The 22140-nt window shown below is 47.8% G+C and overlaps 1 protein-coding gene across 6 annotated transcripts, besides 4 other annotated features; it reads right to left on the minus strand.

The window, feature by feature from the left end:
* On the minus strand, nt 380-11472 carry PRDX3 (peroxiredoxin 3). Of its 6 annotated transcripts, NM_006793.5 has the most exons (7): nt 11415-11472; nt 9681-9813; nt 7111-7252; nt 6397-6532; nt 5042-5145; nt 1837-2002; nt 380-1193 (listed from the first exon to the last, which is right to left on the minus strand). In NM_006793.5, the coding sequence occupies exons 1-7, from the start codon at nt 11448-11450 to the stop codon at nt 1140-1142; spliced, it is 771 nt and encodes a 256-aa protein (NP_006784.1). In that variant the 5' UTR covers nt 11451-11472; the 3' UTR covers nt 380-1139. The 6 variants fall into 6 exon arrangements, 2 of the variants coding, with proteins under 2 accessions (NP_006784.1, NP_001289201.1); NR_126102.2 differs by lacking the exon at nt 9681-9813; NR_126105.2 differs by lacking the exon at nt 7111-7252 and having other exon boundaries at nt 6397-6512; nt 9802-9813.
* Nucleotides 10351-10995: an enhancer, noted in NCBI's record as "H3K27ac-H3K4me1 hESC enhancer chr10:120937203-120937847 (GRCh37/hg19 assembly coordinates)". NCBI's record gives its function as "activates a minimal SCP1, AML or CMV promoter by ChIP-STARR-seq in naive H9 embryonic stem cells {active_cell/tissue: H9 hESC(naive)}" and the evidence as "EXISTENCE:reporter gene assay evidence [ECO:0000049][PMID:30033119]".
* Nucleotides 10995-11474: an enhancer, noted in NCBI's record as "active region_4104". NCBI's record gives its function as "activates an Ori minimal core promoter by ATAC-STARR-seq in GM12878 lymphoblastoid cells {active_cell/tissue: GM12878}" and the evidence as "EXISTENCE:reporter gene assay evidence [ECO:0000049][PMID:35858748]".
* Nucleotides 11505-11614: a silencer, noted in NCBI's record as "silent region_2870". NCBI's record gives its function as "represses an Ori minimal core promoter by ATAC-STARR-seq in GM12878 lymphoblastoid cells {active_cell/tissue: GM12878}" and the evidence as "EXISTENCE:reporter gene assay evidence [ECO:0000049][PMID:35858748]".
* Nucleotides 15533-16278: an enhancer, noted in NCBI's record as "H3K27ac hESC enhancer chr10:120942385-120943130 (GRCh37/hg19 assembly coordinates)". NCBI's record gives its function as "activates a minimal SCP1, AML or CMV promoter by ChIP-STARR-seq in naive H9 embryonic stem cells {active_cell/tissue: H9 hESC(naive)}" and the evidence as "EXISTENCE:reporter gene assay evidence [ECO:0000049][PMID:30033119]".

Raw genomic sequence — 22140 nt, forward strand, 5'->3', positions numbered from 1 at the left:
ATCTAGAACACCTACAACTCCGCTTCAGCAGTTTCACTCCACATTATTTTCCTTCCAAACACTCTACTTTTACTACATGTATGAGGTGTTTCCCCTCTAGAATGTAAGAGCTTAAAAGCAGGGGTTTGTCCGTTGTTCGCTCTTGTGCCTGGAAAACAGCACCTGGTGCGGGGTAGGCACTCAAGGATTTACTGAAACAACGAGAAAATGTTTCCCTATCTGTCTTGCCCCTAAACCGAGTTCCTTGAGTGCGGAACCAGCATCTTATTCTCTTTGTGGCCCCTGAGGTAAATGCTCAATAAATGTTTGTTGATAATCTGAGAAGGAAAGGAGAGCCCAAAATAAGCTGATCCAACAGTTACTGGTGGTAAAATGCAAATGTTTTAAAATATGTTTATTTTGTATGTTTTACAATGAATACTTCAGCAAAGAAAATAATTATAATTTCAAAATGCAATCCCTGGATTTGATAAATATCCTTTATAATCGATTACACTAATCAATATCTAGAAATATACATAGACAAAGTTAGCTAATGAATAAAATAAGTAAAATGACTACATAAACTCAATTTCAGGGATGAGGGATCATGCATGATCAGTTAAGTCACTCTGCCACTTTTTAAAATAATACGATTCACATTTGCTTCAATCACATAAACATTCATTGCAGGAGTTACACGGCTAATCATTGAAAATTATGATCTTTGTTAGCTTAAAAGAAAATTCAGTTTAATACAAAGACATTCAAGATGAAAATTTCAGGACCGTTGATCAGAAGCTTTCAATGTGTGTTGCTCTACTTTATTATAGGCAAGATTCAAGTAAGGCTAAGAAAGAAGAGTGTTTCCATTGAGACATGATCTAAGAATAGCCTTCTATAGAGGCAAATTATGTTCTGTAGAAACTAGCTAGCCAGCCACCAAGATGTTACCAATAAAGGATTCCTTGTACTAGCAACTAACCATGTTTAAAAGGTCTTAGCCAGAATTACAAAAACAAAACATTTAGAGTAATACTTATGAATACAAGCATAATTGGTTCCTTGCCTTCTACAAATAACCATCTTGAAAATGATAAAAGCAGGTTTCAACTGTGGTTCTTCTCTCAGTTGAGAAGGTGCAGATACACATGGGTGATCTACTGATTTACCTTCTGAAAGTACTCTTTGGAAGCAGCTGGACTTGGCTTGATCTGAAAATACAAAAGCTTAATTAGGTAACTGTGACTTTACCATAATAATAGTCCCAAAAGTGAGTGGCAATCTCCCAATTTTTAACCTAAAGTTCTTTAAACTTTTAAAGATTTCCTTTAAAACATAAAGATGAAAGTTTCATTAAGGCCTGCCTGTCTCTAGGCCGGGCACGGTGGCTCACGCCGGTAATCCCAGCACTTTGGGAGGCCAAGGCGGGTGGATCACGAGGTCAGGAGATCCAGACCATCCTGGCTAACACGGTGAAACCCCGTCTCTACTAAAATTCAAAAAATTAGCCGTGGTGGTGGGCGCCCTGTAGTCCCAGCTACTCAGGAGGCTGAGGCAGGACAATGGCGTGAACCCAGGAGGCGGAGCTTGCAGTGAGCTGAGAGAGCGCCACTGCACTCCAGCCTGGGCGAGAGCAAGACTCCGTCTCAAAAAAAAAAAAAAAGGCCTGCCTGTCTCTGATAATTGGTTCCTGGCTCCCCACCCCACCCCCTCTACCCCACAGCAGCTTCACCCATTTGCATATCATCTGCACGCTTGCTTCAAGAGTGGGCTCCCTTTTGTGGATATTTCAGGTCAATAGCTCTCGAGGCTGAGAGAACATGGACCTCACTGCTTTTGGGGAAAAAAACCTACCGTAGGAGAATCCGGTGTCCAGTTCGCTGGGCAGACTTCTCCATGTGTTTCTACATACTGGAACGCCTTCACCAAGCGGAGGGTTTCTTCCACGCTTCGGCCCACTGGGAGATCGTTGACGCTCAAATGCTTGATGACTCCATTGGGGTCAATTATGAAGAGACCTCTGCATGATCATTTATCCTCATCAGTGCCTCAACAGTACCAGAACTAGAACAGTCTAACTTCTTCCCTTTTAGGTCTTTAATTCTCCTTTTAATAAAATATTTATTAAGCGTAATCATATGCTTAAAGGTGGGGTTTTCACTGTTGTGCAAAAAACTTATCATCTCTTACTGATGACAGATGCTTTAACAAAGGCAGTACTGGACCAGGTCACCATAAAACATGCAGTATGGTCACACTTACAAGTTCACATAGTGCCCTGAATGTTACACAGTATCGGAAAGTCACTGAACTAGAGAGAGCAAAGACTATTAGTGACTTGGCAAGCATTCTTTGAGCTGCTGTATCACATCTTGGCAAGAAACTTATAGGCAAATGGGAAGAGACAGAGGTGTATTTTATCTAGGTTCAACAACTGTTTATTATGAATGAATTATTGGGTAAATGGGGGGAAATCCCACGGGAAAAATCTTCATAGAAAGAATGTACAGGCTCTAAGTCTATGCAAAACAGAAAACCATGCCCATCACTTTTAATCATGTAGCAGCATGTAATGAGATGAACCACGCTACCACAGTGGTCTGTGTTTATCTTCTGTGTTGGTGTTACTGTGACAGATGCAGATATGTTTAGCCTAGAAGTTTTTTTGGTTGTTTGGTTTAAATATAGGGTCTCACTGTATTGCCCACGCTGGAGTGCAGTGCTCTTCTCAGGTGTGATCACAGCAGGCTGCAGCCTCGAACTTCTGGCTCAACTGATCCTCCCACCTCAGACTCCCAAGTAGCGTGACTATAGGTGTGTGTCACTGTGTCCGGTTATTTAACCTACAGGTTTTAACAGTCTGTCTTAAAAGGATGTGGAAATTTCAGGTATCAATCACTCATGGAAAAGGCAGGTTAGAGAAAACTCAGGATAAAAGATGCTTCTCCCTCCCTGGGTCAGGCACTGGGAGCCTGGGGTTTGAGGTGAAACTGTTCCCAGAGGGTGCAGCCAGCTGAAGTCCACCAATAGAAGGTGAGGCAGAGCTGGGACAGAGCAGGGCCCATAGACTCCCAAAAGTCTTTATCTTATAAGCCAGACTCAGCTTCTCTCTCTTGTTAATCTCAATATTAAAACGGGTACAGAGGTAACTGCAAAATTAGTGAGTTCTCATAGGGAAAGGGACCGTAGGAGAAAAATAGCCAGTACCCTTTCTCTGGCCATTGACAATTCTGAAAGACCTAGGCATTCGTTTGATAATCTCTTTAAAGTTTAAAAAAAAAAAAATGGTCTGCCAGGTGCGGTGGCTCATGCCTGTAATCCCAGCACTTTTGAGAGGCCGAGGCAGGCAGATCACGAAGTCAAGAGTTTTGAGACCAGCCTGGCCAACACGATGAAACCCCATCTCTACTAAGAATACAAAAATTGGCCGGGCGTGGTGGCGTGTGCCTGTAATCCCAGCTACTCGGGAGGCTGAGGCAGGAGAACTGCTTGAACCCGGGAGGTGGAGGTTGCAGTGAGCCGAGATCACGCCACTGCACTCCAGCCTGGGCGATAAAGCAAGACACCGTCTCGAAAAGAAAAGAAAAAAAAAAAAAGAGAGGAAAAAAAGGCCCAAACTCTAAGATGCCACTCAGCGCTAAAACCCAAGGTGTAACCCAAGAAAGAGCAGGCCAGAGGTCACCTACAAGACAGGCAGGTGAGCTGGCTTTGTTTGTTTGTTTGTTTGTTTGCTTTTGAGACAGAGTCTTGCTCTGTCGCCCAGGCTGGAGTGCAGTGGTGCGATCTCAGCTCACTGCAAGCTCCACCTCCCAGGTTCACGCCATTCTCCTGCCTCAGCCTCCCGAGTAGCTGGGACTACAGGCGCCCACCACCACGCCCAGCTAATTTTTTGTATTTTTAGTAGAGACGGGGTTTCACCATGTTGACCAGGATGGTCTCGATCTCTTGACCTCGTGATCCACCTGCCTCGGCCTCCCAAAGTGCTGGCATTACAGGCCTGAGCCACCGCGCCCGGCCAGGTGAGCTGGCTTTAAGCTGACCAGCCCCCAGCAAAACTGTGAGGCACAGCACATCAAAGGGGGATCCCCTCTCTTCCTTCCTGGAGGTCAAGTTCTGCCCTATCCCTCCTTCACTCCTATTCTCAGCAGACTTCAAGATGCCAATTCTAAGACCCAAGTTCTCATCCCTCCCAGGAAGGTTATGTTTGAATGTGGGGCTGCTGAGGACTGAAAGCTTTTCACACTCAAAGGAATAAAGGTTTAATAAGGGACTGAATACAGATAGAAATGATGTTCTGGGGCAGAAATCCTAACAACTGCTGCCAGTAACTATGCTAAAAACTCTAGCTGTGTCACTATTTAATCCTCACACCCACCTGTGACGTACCACCTCATTTTAGTTATGGGAAAACTGGGGCTCAACAAGGTTAAATCAAATCAGTTGCCCAAAGTCACACAGCTATTAAGTAGCTGAGTTAAAAAAAAGAAAAACTCAAACCAAGGATTGTTTGGTTCCAGGGCTGAAGATGGTCACCATTCCAAGAGACTACCTCTTACCCTGCTAGTCCCCCCTTCTGCAGAGTCTGATGGCTTCAATGTCAGGTGTGTGTCCCCATGGAAGTGGCTCCCACATAGTTAGGGAGTATGGAGCAGTGTGGCCTCAAGACGCAGCCAGCCTTCTTCAGAAAGAGACCCAAGGTGGTGGAGGGGACATGCATGTCTCAGCATTTCTGAGAGACCGCCAACCCTTGCAGGAGGCATTTCATCAGTGTTTATTAAAGACTAAAATTAAGGATTGATTATTATAAATTTTAATTCTTTTTAATATAATAGGGATGAGGTCTCACTATGTTGCCCAGGCTGGTCTTGAACTTCTGAACTCAAGTGATCTTCCCGCCTTGGCCTCCCAAAGTGCTACGATTACAGGCATGAGCCACCATGCCCAGCCAGGATCTTCTGGTTTTAAAAATGCTTTACCAAGGTCTACATAAATCCCCTAAGAAGCAGAATGATACTAAACATGAAAAATAATCTTAAGTTCATCAGAAACAGGATCTTACCTTAGTGCAAGACCAGAACCTTCTAACAGCACACCGTAGTCTCGGGAAATCTGCTTAGTTAAGTCTGACAAGAGTGCGATGTTCATGTGGCCCAAACCACCATTCTAATCAAAATGCAAACATGACTGTTAGAATGTGTGGCCTCACAACATTCTTGACCACGTACCACAATGTTTGAGACCAACAGTAACGGCGATAGGTAACAGTAATTCAACAACGGGCCAAGCACTGCTTACTCTATTAACCTACTGCCTCCTCGAAACCACCCTGGAGAAGACACTATCAAAATGAGGAAACTGAGGCAAGAAAAACCTAAGTAACTTGTTCCAGGTCACAGCTAGAAAGGAGCAGAAGGAAGATTTACACCCGGCTAATACTATAGACCTTTTCCAATTTTTTTTTTAAGACACAGAGTCTCGCTGTCACCAGGCTGGAATGCAGTGATGCAATCACAGCTCACAGCAGCCTCAAACTCCTGGGCTCATGCAATCATCCTACCCCAGTCTCCTGAGTAGCTGGGACTACAGATGCTTTTTCTAATTCTTTATTATTTTATTTATTTATTTATTTATTTTGAGATGGAGTCTCGCTCTGTCGCCCAGGCTGGAGTGCAGTGGTGCGATCTTGGCTCATGGCAACCACCGCCTCCTGGGTTCAAGCGATTCTCCTGCCTCAGCCTCCCGAGTAGCTGGGACTACAGGCGCCCACCACCACACTTGGCTAATTTTTTTTATTTTTAGTAGAGATGGGGTTTCACCGTGTTAGCCAGGATGGTCTCGATCTCCTGACTTTGTGATCCACCTGTCTCGGCCTCTCAAAGTGCTGGGATTACAGGCGTGAGCCATCACGCCCGGCTGCTTTTTCTAATTCTTAAAGCATTCTTTTAAAGGCTAATTTTCTCAAACATAGACATGGAAGAGTAATAATAAAAAAAATACCTTGAGTAGGCCAGGTGTGGTGGCTCATGCCTGTAATTCCGGCACTTTGGGAGGCCAAGGTGGGCGGATCACCTGAGGTCAGGAGTTCGAGACCAGCGTGACCAACATGGAGACACCCCGTCTCTACTAAAAATACAAAATTAGCCAGGGGTGGTGACACATGCCTGTAATCCCAGCTACTCGGGAAGCTGAGGTAGGAGAATCGCTTGAACCCAGGTGGCGGAGGTTGCAGTGAGCTGAGATTGTGCCATTGCACTCCAGCCTGGGCAACAAGAGTGAAGCTCCGTCTCAAAAAAAAAAAAAAAAAAAAACCCAACCCTTGCGTAATTTGATCTTGATAGTCCAGCAGCATAGCTAGAAATTTAGATTCTTCCAAGCAAGTTTATAAGAGCAAAAGCTAGGGGTACAATGCCATACCTTTCTTGGTGTATTTATCCAGGCAAGATGGCTAAAGTGGGAATCCACTGAGACTGCGACAACTTCACAGTTCACGTCGTGAAATTCGTTAGCTTTGTCACTAAAAGCAACAATTTCTGTAGGACACACAAAGGTGCTGGAAAAAAAGGATAGAAATTCTCATTAGAGCATTTAAAAACAAGGATTTTAACAATTAGTGGTCTAACAACTAGTTCAACTTGCTAAGGGTAAAAAAGGCAAAATGGTTTACCATCCTCACTGGACTATAGTGTTGTGCTGGCAAAAGTACTACTACCTCCCCTCACCTTTTTATTTTTAGGAATTGTATCAAAAAATGGGGAAAGGGAACACATATTTTAAGAAAAAAAAATTACAGTTCAATAAAGTTGCTTTTTGAAAAAAATCATTTTATTATGCCTACTTTTCTCATTTTTCCCCAGACCAGTGAAAACTTTTTCATAGACTGGCTTAGGGAAGCAGTGCTCCAGAGCACAGAGGTGTACTATAAAGAAAGCTGTCCTACCCCACCCCCGAAGTTTATCACTTGTAAACAAGCTACAGATCCCAGCTGTAATCAACAAGGCCATCAGTGATAAAGGGTCAGAAAGAATCCTTCCTTTCACAAGGGTATCTAGGGATAGACAATTCAGTGTGGGAACAGGATATGTGCTTGCTCTCAGAATGACACGAAAGCATCATAGAAATTACACTTACAAATCCAAAGGATAGAAGAAAAGCACCAAATATTTCCCCTTAAAGTCATCAAGGCTTAGGTCTTTGAACTCTCCATTGACAACGGCTGTACCCTTAAAATAGGGTGCATGCTGGGTGACAGCAGGTGCATGGCATGAGGAACCTGAAAAAAAACCCACACTCATATGGAGTTCATCATTTGCTATGTCAAGCACCTATGATTTTATTTAAACTTCTCATAATTAATTAGTAGTATAAAGTGCTTAGTATAAATCAAAACATTCGGTTCAACTGTACATCTTAGGCACAGTCATCCTTTGCCACCTGTGGGGGGATTGGTTCTAGGATATCGAAATCTACAGATGCTCAAGTCTCTTACATAAAGTGGTGATTTGCATATAATCCACACACACCCTCCAGTATACTTAAATCATCTCTAGATTACTCATAATACCTAATACGACGTAAATGCTACGTAAATAGTCGTTAAGCTGTATTGTTTAGGGAATGACAAGAAAAAAAGACTTTGTGTTCAGTATAGACACAACCATCCATTTTTCCCTCCCAATATTTTCGATTCAACCAACCACAGATGCAGAATCCAGATACAGAGGGCCAACTGTAATTTCTCCTTCTATAGTTTTAGATTGTGCACAAATTCAATTCCAACTGCTACAGAAACTAAAAAGAGGAAGACAAAGTAGGGATAGAATTAAGGAAGACATGAGACTAGAGATGGATTTTAAATATGGTTCAGATTTTGTCAAGTCTAGATGGGATGGGGCAGATGGCATGTAGGAAACAGCAGGAAGGAAGACAGGACATGTGTGTGGAGCAGCGTGTGGCAGTCTAATGAGAACAGAGAGTGTCTAAGGGTACGGAGTGAAGAGCAGGCAGCAGGCAGGAATGGTTGAAGGCCATGTTGCAACAGTCCTTAAATACTAGGCTGCTGGGTCTTCTTAGCAGGAAAGATAACAGAGTCAAGGGCGGAGTCTCGCTCTGTTCGCCCAGGCTGGAGTGCAGTGGCACAATCTCAGCTCACTGCAAGCTCTGCCTCCTGGGTTCACGCCATTCTCCGGCCTCAGCCTCCCGAGTAGCTGGGACCACAGGCGCCCGCCACCCCGCCCGGCTAATTTTTTGTATTTTTAGTAGAGATGGGGTTTCACCGTGTTAGCCAGGATGGTCTCCATCTCCTGACCTCGTGATCTGCCAGCCTCGGCCTCCCAAAGTGCTGGGATTACAGGCGTGAGCCACAGTGCCTGGCTGAGATGGGGGTTTTTAGGAAGATTAGTCCGGCAGGAGGGAAAGAGGAGCAGGAGGAAGGGGGAGACATGTTAGGAGGTGGTTTCAGTGATTTTTTTTTTTTTGAGACAGAGTTTCGCTCTGTCACCTAGGCTGGAGTGTAGTGGCATGGTCTCGGCTCACTGCAACCTCCGCCTCCCAGGTTCAAGCAATTCTCCTGCCTCAGCCTCCCAAGTAGCTGGGATTCCAGTAGCACACCACCACACCCGGCTTATTTTTTTTAAGTATTTTTAGTAGAGACGGGATTTCACCAGGTTGGCCAGGATGGTCTTGAACTCCTGACCTCAAGTAATTCGCCTGCCTTGGCCTCTCAAAGTGCTGGGATTACAGGTGTGAGCCACTGTGCCCAGCCTCGATTTCAGTGATCTTAGACGTATTGAGGGGAGGTATGGGGCAGAAAGAACAGAAAGGAATGGATGCAAGAGATGTGTCAAAACTGAAAAGGACTTGCTTCTACCCAGGAATGAGCGACAGAGTAGTTCCAATGTCAAAATGCCTGACACCGCCATGAACAGAAACAGGAGGCGCTGCTGGGGATGAGGATTCGAAACCAGTGGAGTAAAGTTTTAAGCCTGTGGTATCACATCACTACTAGAAATATTTTGAAGCTCCAGGGTAGTAAAATTGCGAAAGCTCTTAGAACATTTTGCCCACAAACAAAGGCTTTACTAAAGTATATCCCCACAAACCATTACATATTAAATACGGGCTTTTTCAAAGGCTAGTCAAATCTAGACAAGGTATTTTCAAATACCACTCATTATCTGAGGCTGATCTTAGCAAAGCCCATATCCTAGAGAAGGGAGTGTAAATCTCAAGAAACAGCTAAATTTCGCTCAGATTACAGATACCATTAGACAGGTCTGGTTCCTAAGTGGCCAGCTGGGGCCATTACACAGGTTTGAATCTTAGAGCAGCTGCCCTCTCAGGTCCCCCACAGGCTGCCCACCACTCACAGCTCTTCAGACACACTAGACTCAGAAGGCATCTGAGCTCCCAGTAACACCCTCCTCAACACAGTGGATTAGAAACTCTGACAACCAACATGGAAATGTGACAAGGGCAGTTTGCCTCAGTGATTCTCAACCCTGGCTGCACGTTAGAATCACCCGGCACATCCTGGTCTCACCCCACAGACTAACTTGTCTGGGGTGGGACGGGGGCAGTGCTGTGTTCCTGAAAGCTCCCAGGTGACTCTAACGTTTGGCCAGGGTTCAGAGCCCCTGTCCAGAGACGATGGTTCATTTTTCCTTTACCTGGCTCCAGCCAAGACATGACATAACACTTACTGGTGCTGAATAATTTTGCTTGACTGGAACCAGAACACAATAAATTTGTCAAGCTCGTTCTTCCACATGCAGCAGGCCTGAGGGCTGCAGTGGCAGAAATGCCCCAAGGAATGGCACTCACATGTCGGGCAACCTGGAAAGAGAAACTTTTTATTAGAAAGTTTTCCTGGACTGGTGACTGAAGGCTGAAAGGGCATCGTGCCAACGGTGGTTTCAGCTGTCCCTGTTCCTGTGAACCAAATAGCAAACCCCAAACTCTAAGAGCATGGATTGGATCTGCATGTTCTTAACACTCCCTTCTGCTTCCTTCTCCTAGGAGACTGGAAGGTGGAGAGGAACTATAAGAACACAAAGACCGGCTGGGCGCGGTTGCTCACACCTGTAATCCCAGCACTTTGGGAGGCCAAGACGGGTTGATCACCAGGTCAGGAGTTCGAGACCAGCCTGGCCAAGATGGTGAAACTCCATCTCTACTAAAAACACAAAACTTAGCCAGGCGGCGGTGGCGGGCACCTGTAATTCCAGCTGCTTGGGAGGCTGAGGCAGGAGAATTGCTTGAACCCGGGAGGCAGAGGTTGCAGAGCCGAGATCGCGCCATTGCACTCTAACCTGGGCGACAACTCCGTCTCAAAAAAAAAAAAAAAAAAAATCAGAAACTCCATGCGCTTAAAGCAACACAGGGTTCAGAAGCCAGGGGACTTGTGCAGGCTTTTCCCAGCACTATCTGCTGAGTATGTTCTACCATTTCAAGGTTTTCCTTAGAAAAACAAGGCCCCTCCAGCACCAGCGACAAGTAAACAAGAAGAGCCAAATTCAGCCTCTGGGAGTCTGTTAAAGGCTCAAGGGACATGTTTACTCAACTTTTTTTTTTTTTTTTTGAAACAGAGTCTCGCTCTTTTACCCAGGCTAGAGTGCAGTGGCGCGATCTCGGCTCGCTGCAGTCTCGACCTCCTGGGCTCAAGTGATCCTCCCACCTTAGCCTCCCCAGGAGCACTGACCACCATGCCCGGCTATTTTTTTTTTTAGAGACAAGGTCTCACTATTATTGTCCAGGCTGGTCTCAAACTCCTGGGCTCAAGTGATCTGCCCGCCTCGGCCTCCCAAAGTGCTAGGATTACAGGCGTGAGCCACCGCACTCTGCCGGTTTGCTCAACTTTAATGTTCAAAATGACTCAGGAGAACGAAAGGGGCTGTGTTGAACCCCACCAGAGAAAGCCGTGTACCAAAAGAGCACGACGCATTGCCCACAGTTAAGCAGGAAACAGCAGCAGAAACACGCGGGAGTGGGATTGGGAGGGAAAGCCTTTGTGAGTTTTTTAGCACTTTGCGCGTTTTTATCCAGTATTTAAGGGGCTGTTCACAGCAACGCCTTGATGTAGGCATCATTCTTTCCATCTTAAGTACACAGTCTGAGAAAGGCGAAGGCGCTTGCCCAAGATCACAGGGTCGGTGGCAGAATCAGGGCCAGGACCTTAAGTGGAGATGGGCCTGGGGACCGGGGACGCCGAAAGAGGAGGGACTCGGGGAAGAGACCGCGAGGATGGAGTGGGGAAGGGCGGTTCTGCGCAGGCGCATGGAACCTTCCCGGAGGGAGGCCTCTGGGTCCGTTACCCGCGGAAACCCTCCAAGAAGGGCGAATGGCCCTCATGCCCAGAAGCGCGGGGTCCTGTCTGAGAAGCACGTTCCCGGAGCCACCAGTGTCTCCACGCCTGTCCCCAGCCGACAGCCACTCACCGACGCTCGGAGCAACCGTCCTACAGCAGCCGCCATCTTCAGTGCACTCGGGCGCCACGGGGCGGGCAGAGACGCAGGGGCGGGGCCTACGGGGTGGTGAGCGGGCCCTCTGCTGGTGGGGGGGCGGGGCCGGAGGAGCCACCGCCTCCCCGCCTCCTGGAGACCCTGAGGGAGAAATTCCCTTTAAGGCTGAATGCTTGGGCAAGTGACACGTGGTTTTCCTACTGTCGCCCCAACCTTAAAAGAACGAATCCAGGCGGGGCATTAGGTATTTGTTTCCATATTTCCCACTGTTTTGTTAACCTTGTGTGGATTACTGTGTCTAGTATTTCTGTGACAGGATCCCTTTCTTATTTCAGCCTCAGGTAGAGACTTCCGGCTTCTGTATGAAATGGAATTAATTACAAATGCAGTTTTAGTCCGTTAATAAGCTAAGTGGGCTAGACACATCAAGGCTTTGTTGGCCTGAAATCCGCTGGAATTGTGTGTGGTCTAACATTTGGCCTCTCTTCCCAAAATTGGGAAAACTGGGACAAATTTAAAATTTGGTTTTTGTCTATTAATGAAGCCAAGTGTTCAGTGGTGAGCATAGTACTTGAAGCAACCACATCAAACATAGATAAAAATCACACCGTGGCCTTACAGTAAGTGTGACAAATTGCAGTCTTGGAGCTGGTATTTTCTTTTCTCTTTTCTTTTCTTTTCTTTTTTTTTTTTTTTGAGACTGGGTCTTGCTCTGTCGCCCAGGCTGGAGTGCAGTGGCATGATCTTGGCTCACTGCAACCTCTGCCTCCCGGGTTCAAGCGATTCTCCTGCCTGAGCTTCATGAGTAATTGGGATTCCTGAGCAGCTGGGATTACAGCCGCCTGCCACCATGCCCAGTTAAGTTTTTGTATTTTAAGTAGAGATGGGGTTTCACCATGTTGGCCAGGCTGGTCTCAAACTCCTGACCTCAAGTGATCCGCCCACCTCGGCCTCCCAAAGTGCTGGGATGATAGGCATGAGCCACTGCACCCGGTCTGAGTTGGTATTTTCCAATCACTAGTCATTCAATTAGCAACTTCGTTTCTCAAGTCTTCTTATCACCAAATATCACTTACTATTTTCTTTAAATTGGCTTTCTTTTTTTTTTTTCCTTTTCTTTTTTGAGACAGAGTCTCACTCTGTCGTCCAGGCTAGAGTGCAGTGGCACAATCTCGGCTCACTGCAACCTCTACCTCCTTGGTTCGAGCGATTCTTCTGGCTCAGCCTCTCGAGTAGCTGGGATTACAGGCGTGCACCACTAAACCCGGCTAATTTTTTTAGTATTTTTAGTAGAGATGGGGTTTCACCATATTGGCTAGGCTGGTCTTGAACTCCTGACATCAGGTGATCCTCCCACCTTGGCCTCCCAAAGTGCTGGGATTACAGGCGTGAGCCACCACACCCAGCCCAGTATATTTTCTAAAATCATCTCAGGTACCACTAGGCGCCACCCTGGGTACCAGTCCCCAGATGTGGAAAGGACTGCCTTGGATGTGTGGGGACACACGTTTCGACTATTTCACCTCACACCTTCCTTGTGTTTGTTTAATTGGTTTTAATTATGTCTGTGTTTAGCAGATGATTGAAAAGGAGACAATCATTTTGGAGCTCAAAATCGTACTGTAGGCCGGGCGCAGTGGCTCACATCTGTAATCCCAGCACTTTGGGAAGCTGAGGTGAGTGGATCACCTGAGGTAAGGAGTTCAAGACCAGCCTGACCAACATGGTGAAACCCTTTCTCTACTAAAAATTGCAAAATTAGCTGGGCATGGTGGTGCATACCTGTAATCTCAGCCACTTGGGAGGCTGAGGCAGGAGAATCACTTTAACCTGGGAGGCAGAGGTTGCAGTGAGCCGAAATTGAACCAGTGCACTCCAGCCTCAGCAACAAGATTGAAACTCCGTCTCAAAAAAAAAAAAAAAAATACTGTAGTTCACAATGGAATATTATTTATCCATAAAAGGAATGAAATACTGATATATGCTACAACACAGATGAACTTTGAAAACACTAGCTAAGTGAAAGAAGCCAGACACAAAAGAACAAATAGTGTGTGTTTCCTTTTATATGAAACATCTAAAATAGGTAATTCCAAAGGGACAGAAAGCAAATCAGCAATTGTTAGGGACTGGGAGAAGCTGGCATGGGGACTGACTATTTATTTTTTATTTTATTTATTTATTTTTGAGACAGAGTCTCCCTCTGTTGCCCAGGATGGAGTACAGTGATGCAATCTCAGCTCACTGCAACCTCAGCTCACTGCAACCTCTGCCTCCCAGATTCAAGCAATCCTCCTGCCTCAGTCTCCCGAGTAGCTGGGACTACAGGTGTGACCACCATGCCCAGCTAATTTTTTTTTGTATTTTTTAGTAGAGACGGAGTTTCGCCATGTTGGCCAGGCTGATCTCGAACTCTTGACCTCAAGTGATCTGCCTGCCTTGGCCTCCCACAGCGCTGGGATTACAGGTGTGAGCCAGTGCGCCCAGCCGGAACTATTTAGTAGGTACAGGATTTTCTTTTTTTTTTTTTTTTAATTTTATTTTTATTGATCATTCTTGGGTGTTTCTCACAGAGAGGGATTTGGCAGGGTCATAGGACAATAGTGGAGGGAAGGTCAGCAGATAAACAAGTAAACAAAGGTCTCTGGTTTTCCTAGGCAGAGGACCCTGAGGCCTTCTGCAGTGTTTGTGTCCCTGGGTACTTGAGATTAGGGAGTGGTGATGACTCTTAACGAGCATGCTGCCTTCAAGCATCTGTTTAACAAAGCACATCTTGCACCGCCCTTAATCCATTTAACCCTGAGTGGACACAGCACATGTTTCAGAGAGCACAGGGTTGGGGGGTAAGGTCACAGATCAACAGGATCCCAAGGCAGAAGAATCTTTCTTAGTACAGAACAAAATGAAAATTCTCCCATGTGTACTTCTTTCCACACAGACACGGCAACCATCCGATTTCTCAATCTTTTCCCCACCTTTCCCCGCTTTCTATTCCACAAAACCACCATTGTCATCGTGGCCCGTTCTCAATGAGCTGTTGGGCACACCTCCCAGACGGGGTGGTGGCCGGGCAGAGGGGCTCCTCACTTCCCAGTAGGGGCAGCCGGGCAGAGGCGCCCCTCACCTCCCGGACGAGGCGGCTGGCTGGGCGGGGGGCTGACCCCCCCCACCTCCCTCCCGGACGGGGCGGCTGGCCGGGCGGGGGGCTGACCCCCCCCCACCTCCCTCCCGGACTGGGCGACTGGCCAGGTGGGGGGCTGACCCTCCCACCTCCCTCCCGGAAGGGGCGGCTGGCCGGGCAGAGGGGCTCCTCACTTCCCAGTAGGGGCGGCCGGGCAGAGGCGCCCCTCACCTCCCAGATGGGGCGGCTGGCCGGGCGGGGGGCTGACCCCCCACCTCCCTCCCGGACGGGGCAGCTGGCCGGGCGGGGGGGCTGAACCCCCCACCTCCCTCCCGGACGGAGCGGCTGGCCGGGCAGAGGGGCTCCTCACTTCCCAGTAGGGGCAGCTGGGCAGAGGCGCCCCTCACCTCCCGGACGGGGCGGCTGGCCGGGTGGGGGGCTGACCCCCCACCTCCCTCCCGGACAGGGCGGCTGCCGGGCGGAGACGCTCCTCACTTCTCAGACGGGGCGGCTGCCGGGCAGAGGGTCTCCTCACTTCTCAGACGGGGCGGTTGCCAGGCGGAGGGTCTCCTCCCTTCTCAGATGGGGTGGCTGGGCAGAGACGCTCCTCACCTCCCAGACGGGGTCGCGACCGGGCAGAGGCACTCCTCACATCCCAGACGGGGCGGTGGGGCAAAGGCACTCCCCACATCTCAGACGATGGGCGGCCGGGCAGAGACGCTCCTCACTTCCTAGATGGGATGGCGGCCGGGAAGAGGCGCTCCTCACTTCCTAGATGGGATGGCGGCCGGGCAGAGACGCTCCTCACTTTCCAGACTGGGCAGCCAGGCAGAGGGGCTCCTCACATCCCAGATGATGGGCGGCCAGGCAGAGACGCTCCTCACTTCCTAGACGGGGTGGCGGCCGGGCAGAGGCTGCACTCTGGGCACTTTGGGAGGCCAAGGCAGGCGGCTGGGAGGTGGAGGTTGTAGCGAGCCGAGATCACGCCACTGCACTCCAGCCTGGGCACCATTGAGCACTGAGTGAACCAGACACCGTCTGCAATCCCGGCACCTCCGGAGGCCGAGGCTGGCGGATCACTCGCGGTTAGGAGCTGGAGGCCAGCCCAGCCAACACAGCGAAACCCCATCTCCACCAAAAAAATACGAAAACCAGTCAGGCGTGGCGGCGCGCCTGCAATCGCAGGCACTCGGCAGGCTGAGGCAGGAGAATCAGGCAGGGAGGTTGCAGTGAGCCGAGATGGCAGCAGTACCGTCCAGCTTCGGCTCGGCATCAGAGGGAGACCGTGGGGAGAGGGAGAGTAGGGAGAGGGAGAGGGAGAGGGAAGTCCAGGATTTTCTTTTGTGGTGATGAAAATGTTTTGGAACTAGATAGAGGTGGGTATAACATTATGAATTAACTAAATACCCCGAATTGTAAACTTTAAAATAATTAATTTTATATTTGGTGAATTTCACCTCAATTAAAAAAAAAATTAGAAAAAGGCCAGGCATGGTGGCTCATGCCTGTAATTGCAGCGCTTTGGAAAGCCAAGGTAGGAGGATCACTTTGTGCCCAGGGGTTTGAGACCAGCCTGGGCAACATAGCAAAACCCTGTCTCAAAAAAAAAAAAAAAAAAAAAGAAAGAAAAAGAAAAAGGAAAAGAAAAAAAAAAGAGAGAGAGAAAATGTAGAAGAAATAGGGACTAAAAACATTATATACTGTAGTCTACTCCAGTGATTTAATAGATCTAAAAGGCTCAGAAAACTGAGCCTTTTGGAGATGGAGAGACCTTCCCAAAATCACATCACTGGCTAGAAGCAGAGAGGTAGGGCAAGAACCCAGAAATTCCATACCACTGACCACCCAGCGTGTGTGTCTGATGGAGTTCAGCCTCAGCACCTTTTCCCCAGCCAACTCGTGAGATTACGTCATCCACACCCTCATCGTCTCCTCTTCTCCCTCATACTACAGGGTTGTTTTTTTGGTAGAAACAAGGTCTCGCTATCTTGCCCAGGCTGGCCTTGAACTCCTGACCTCAAGTGATCCTCCAGCTCCCAAAGTGCTGGGATTACAGGTATGAGCCACTGTCACAACAGCCTGCAGTTTTAAAGTACTTAAGCTTCAGTAGCTCAAGTCAACAAAAGGGGAGGGGGGAGGGGGGCAAAGCCAAGCCAAGGGGTCGCCTTCTCTTCTCCTTATGCCCACAGCCCTTTGCCGCCCACCTCTCCCTTCCCCATGCTGGAGGGCCTCTTGCTCTCCTATTGTAGGCGTGTGTTTTTTAGTTCCTGCACACAGGCAGTTTGGCTCATAACTAAACTTCACTATAAAAATGTAAAGCATGGTGCAAGTCAAAGCGACAGAGCAGAGTGGAGTTCCCTTAGAATTTCACCTCACTCATCCTGGTTTCAGTTTTAAAGCTCAGATGCATTAGTTAGTGCCAGCTCATAGGCAGGGTTAGGCTTCAAGGTAACATTACTTGAGGGCCTCATAATTGGCTCTGAAAGCAATTCTTTTTTTTTTTTTTTTTTGAGACGGAGTTTTGCTCTTGTTGCCCAGGCTAAAGTGCAATGGTGCGATCTCGGCTCACTGCAACCTCTGCCTCCCAGGTTCAAGTGATTCTCCTACCTCAGCCTCCTGAGTAGCTGGGATTACAGGCATGCACCACCACGCCCAGCTAATTTTGTGTTTTTAGCGGAGATGGGGTTTTGCCATGTTGGTCAGGCTGGTCTCGAACTCCTGACCTCAGGTGATTGGCCCGCAGGTGATCGGCCCGCTTCGGCCTCCCAAAGTGCTGGGATTACAGGTGTGAGCCACCGTGCCTGGCTGCTTCAAGGTAACATTACTTTCCGTCTTCCATGTAGCCCCATTCACCTGCGGCTGCCTTCAGTTAGATTTCCTGCATGATTCCTGCCCATTTTAGCCTCTGAAGTAATCTGTTTCCTGTCCTATTAGGTACCAAATAGAGAGCCCTCTGGTATTGGATCAATTAACAATGTGATTTTTTTTTTTTAGAATCTTGCTGTGTTGCCCAGGCTGGAGTGCAGTGGTGCAATCTCGGCTCACTGCAACCTCTGCCTCCTGGGTTCAAGAGATTCTTCTGCCTCAGCCTCCTGAGTAGCTGGGATTACAGGTGCCCACAACCACAACTAGCTAATTTTTGTATTTTTAGTAGAGACCAGGTTTTGCCATGTTGGCCAGGCTGGTCTTGGACTCCGGACCTCAAGTGATCCTCTCGCCTCGGCCTCCCAAAGTGCTGGGATTACAGGCATGAGCCACCGTCCCTAGCCAACAATGTGATTTTAATCATTAATAAACATGTACTGGAGAGGATCACTTAGACCCTGCTGCCGAGGAACTGTGTGTGTATCCAAGGAATACTGATAAAATCATTAAAAAAAAAACCCAGTCCAAGATTCAGCATTTTAAGAGGCATGAAAGAGGCATAATGGTTGAGTGTGGACAGCTGAGATTGACACACCAGCTCTGCTAGCTGCAGGCACGTGGCCTTGGGCAAGTTACTTAGCACATTTTCCCATCTGTAAAATTGAAATGATGTTAGTGCTTACCCCAAGGGCTTTTGTGAGGAATAAATGAGTTCATATTTTAAAGGCATTAGCACAGTCAGCAGGCACATAGTGTTCGTTATATTAAATAAAAGAGAGGTGCAAGTGAAGTGCTATCATGGTTTAGAGAAAGGGGCCAAGAAGGGCTTCACAGAGAAATCATCTATCCTGCTGCTTGGGGAAGGTGAAGGGGAAGATGGCAGGTGGAAGTGACTAGTGACCTTTGTCCCTTTGGTTTACTGTTATCTTCAGTGACCACACTATGGGGCTACGCTCTGGGTTGAATGCAGTATCTCTATTCCGTCTGCACAACCCTATGACACAGGTGCTTTTTCGGTTTGTTTTTTGTTTTGTTTTGTTTTGTTTTGTTTTAGAGTCTTGCTCTGTCACTCAGGCTGAAGTGCAATGGCATGATCTCAGCTCACAGCAAACTCCACTCCTGGGTTCAAGTGATTCTCCTGCCTCAGCCTCCCAAGTAGCTGGGATTACAGGTGCACACCACCACACCTGGCTAATTTTTGTATTTTTAGTAGAGATGGGGTTTCATCATGTTGGCCAGGTTGGTCTCGAACTCCTGACCTCAAGTGATCCGCCTGCCTCGGCCTCCCCAGGTGTAGGGATTACAGGTGTGAGCCATCACACCCAGCCACAGGTACTGTTTTTAATTCATCATCCCCATTTCCAAGGTGAGGAGACTGATGCTTGGGAAGGTTTAGTAATTTGTCCAAAGTCCCACAACTGGAAAGGGAAGGAGCCAGGATTTAAACCTTGAAAGCTGACTGCAGAGCCCCCATTCCTTTTCATTTTTATTGTTTTTTGTTTGTTTGTTTGTTTTTGAGACAGGGTCTCTCTCTGTCATCCAGGCTGGAGTGCAATGGCACAACCATGGCTCACTGCAGCCTCAACCTCCTGGGCTCAAACAATCCTCCCACCTCAGCCTCCCAAGGAGCTGGGACCACAAGTGTGTATCACCAAGCCCAGCTAATTTTGTTAGTTTTTGTAGAGAAGGGTCTTCCTATGTTGTCTAGGTTGGTCTCAAACTCCTGGGCTCAAGCAGTCCTCCTGCCTTGGCCTCCCAAAATGTTGGGATTACCGGTGTGAGGCCAGAGCCCCAACTCTTTTTTTTTTTTTTTTTTTGAGATGGAGTCTCGCCCTGTCGCCCAGGCTGGAGTGCGGTGGCGCAATCTCAGCTCACTGCAAGCTCCGCCTCCCGGGTTCACGCCATTCTCCTGCCTCAGCCTCCCGAGTAGCTGGGACTACAGGCGCCCGCCACCACACCTGGCTAATTTTTTTGTATTTTTAGTAGAGATGGGGTTTCACCGTGTTAGCCAGGATGGTCTCCATCTCCTGACCTCGTGATCCACTCACCTTGGACTCCCAAAGTGCTGGTATTACAGGCGTGAGCCACCGTGCCTGGCCAAGTGCCCCAACTCTTAAAGCAATATTGTATGACCTCCTACAGTATTTGTTGGAGCATAATGTGCTTGATGGGACATAATAGGAGATGGTACTATAAATGTGGGCTGTGTGAGGACATGAAGGAGCACTGACCATCTGTCCTTTAGTGAAATATCTCAAGTACTCCACTCCCAGGCACCAGGCCTCACTGTGGATTCTGTCCATTGATGCGGTACGCTGTGCTCTTTTGCCTAAGCATTTCTAATAGGTTCCGCCCCTGCAATTGATGTTCACCACCTTGGGGCCCACTCTACTCTCAGCCTTCTTTTTTTTTTTCTGACGGAGTCTCACTCTGTCACCCAGGCTGGAGTGCAGTGGTACCATCTCGGCTCACTGCAACTTCTGTCTCCCAGGTTCAAGCAATTCTCCTGCTTCAGCCTCCTGCGTAGCTGGGATAACAGTGCCCGCCACCACGCCTGGCAAATTTTTTTGTATTTTTAGTAAAGACAGGGTTTTCAATGTGTTTCAGCACATGGCCAGGCTGGTCTTGAACTCTTGACTTCAAATGATCTGCCCGCCTTGGCCTCCCAAAGTGCTGGGATTACAGGTATGAGCCACTGTGTTCGGGCGACTCTCAGCCTTCCTTTCCTTCTCTGGGGTCTGTCTGTTCCTGTCTTCCTGCCAAGCTTGTGAAAGGAAGGCACCCACTTATTTGTGACAACGAAAAATGTTTCCAGATGTTGCCAAATGTCCCCTGGGGACAAGAGAACCCCCAGAGGAAACCACTGCTCTAATGGTAATGGCACAGGCTGTGGGGCCACCAGGACATGGGATCAAATTCTTGGTCTGTCACTTATGGTCTTGGAGGGCAGGTCATATGTCTCAGGCATCACAGAATCCCTCGTGACTAGACCAGTTAATGTTTCTATACCTCAGTTTCTGCAGGTGTGAAATGAGGGTAATGATGGCATCTACCGCTTCAGCCATGCACAGTGAGATAATGCCTGCAAAAGATGTAGTGGGGTGCTAGATACAGAGAAAGTGGTATAAATAAGTTATTCTTTTCCCCACAAGCAGACATACTACATTTTCAAACAACTGGCACAGGCTCTGAAGACATTTTATTTTTTCTCAAAGTGATGAAGTTCATTTTCCTTTCTTTCTTTCTTTTTTTTTTTTTTAAACAGAGTCTTGTTCTGTCGTCCAGGCTGGAATGCAGTGGCATGATCTCAGCTCACTGCAACCTCTGCCTCCCAAGTTCAAGCAATTCTTGTGCCTCAGTGTCTCGAGTAGCTAGGATTACAATCACGTGCCACCATGCCAGGTTTTTTTGTTTTGTTTTGTTTTGTTTTGTTTGTTTGTTTTAGTAGAGATGGGGTTTTACCATGTTGGCCAGGTCAACTCCTGACCTCAATTGATCTGCCGATCTCGGCCTCCCAAAGTGCTGGGATTACAGGCGTGAGCCACCATGCCCAGCCCTTTTCCTCCTTTCATTCAGGAGTGAGGGGTGAGGAATTTGTGCAAACGCTGATCCCCAAACAGGCTCAAATTAGGCTCTTCTGGAAGCCACAGGGACATGCAGGCAAGGAAAGAAAGGTACTGGGAATCTACCTGTTCAGGGCAGCTTAACCTCTTCTGCCTTGAGGCACCTGCTGGGTCTGGGCTGTGCTTTGACTCAGGAAACCTTGCCAGTTTTTTCTTTTATCTTATCTTTTTTTTTTTTTTTTGAGATGGAGTCTCACTCTGTCACCTAGGCTGGAGTACAGTGGCGCCATCTTGGCTCACTGCAACCTCCACCTCCCATGTTGAAGGGATTCTCCTGCCTCAGCCTCTCGAGCAACTGGAGTTACAGGCATGCGCCACCACACCCGGCTAATTTTTGTATTTTTAGTAGAGACGGGGTTTCACCATATTGGCCAGGCTAGTCTCAAACTCCTGACCTCGTGATCCACCTGCCTCTACCTCCCAAAATGCTGGGATTATAGGCATGAGCCACCACACCCAGCCCAGTTTTTTCTTTTAAAGCTAACTATGGGCAGGGCTCGGTGGCTCACACCTGTAATCCCAGCACTTTGGGAGGTCGAGACAGGTGGATCACTTGAAGTCAGGAGTTCAAGACTAGCCTAGAAACATGGCGAGACCCTGTCTCTACAAAAAAAAATACAAAAATTAGTTGGGCATGATGGTGCATGCCTGTAGTCCCAGCTACTCGGGAGGCTGAGGTGGGAGGATTGCTTTAGCCCAGGAGGTTAAGATTGCAGTGAGCTATGTTTGCACCACGGCACCCCAGCCTGGGTGACAGAGTGATACGCTGTTTCAAAAATAAATAAATAAATAAAGGTAACTATAAGGAATAAGGGCCTGGGTAACAGAGTGACATGGTGTCTCAAAAAATAAATAAATAAATAAAGCAAGCTAACTATGAGGAATAAGGGTGACCACAATGGTCAGACACCTATCAAATCCCCATCTACCTGAGATGGACTTTAGCTATGATTAGAAAGACATCTTGGCCAGGCATGGTTGCTCACATCTGTAATCCCAGCACTTTGGGAGGCAGAGGCAGGCGGATCACCTGAGGTCAGGAGTTCAAGACCTGCCTGGCCAATATGGTGAAACCCTCTCTGTACTAAAAATA

The sequence above is a fragment of the Homo sapiens genome, chromosome 10 (assembly GCF_000001405.40).
Source record: "Homo sapiens chromosome 10, GRCh38.p14 Primary Assembly".
In the NCBI taxonomy this organism is placed as follows: Eukaryota; Metazoa; Chordata; class Mammalia; order Primates; family Hominidae; genus Homo; species Homo sapiens.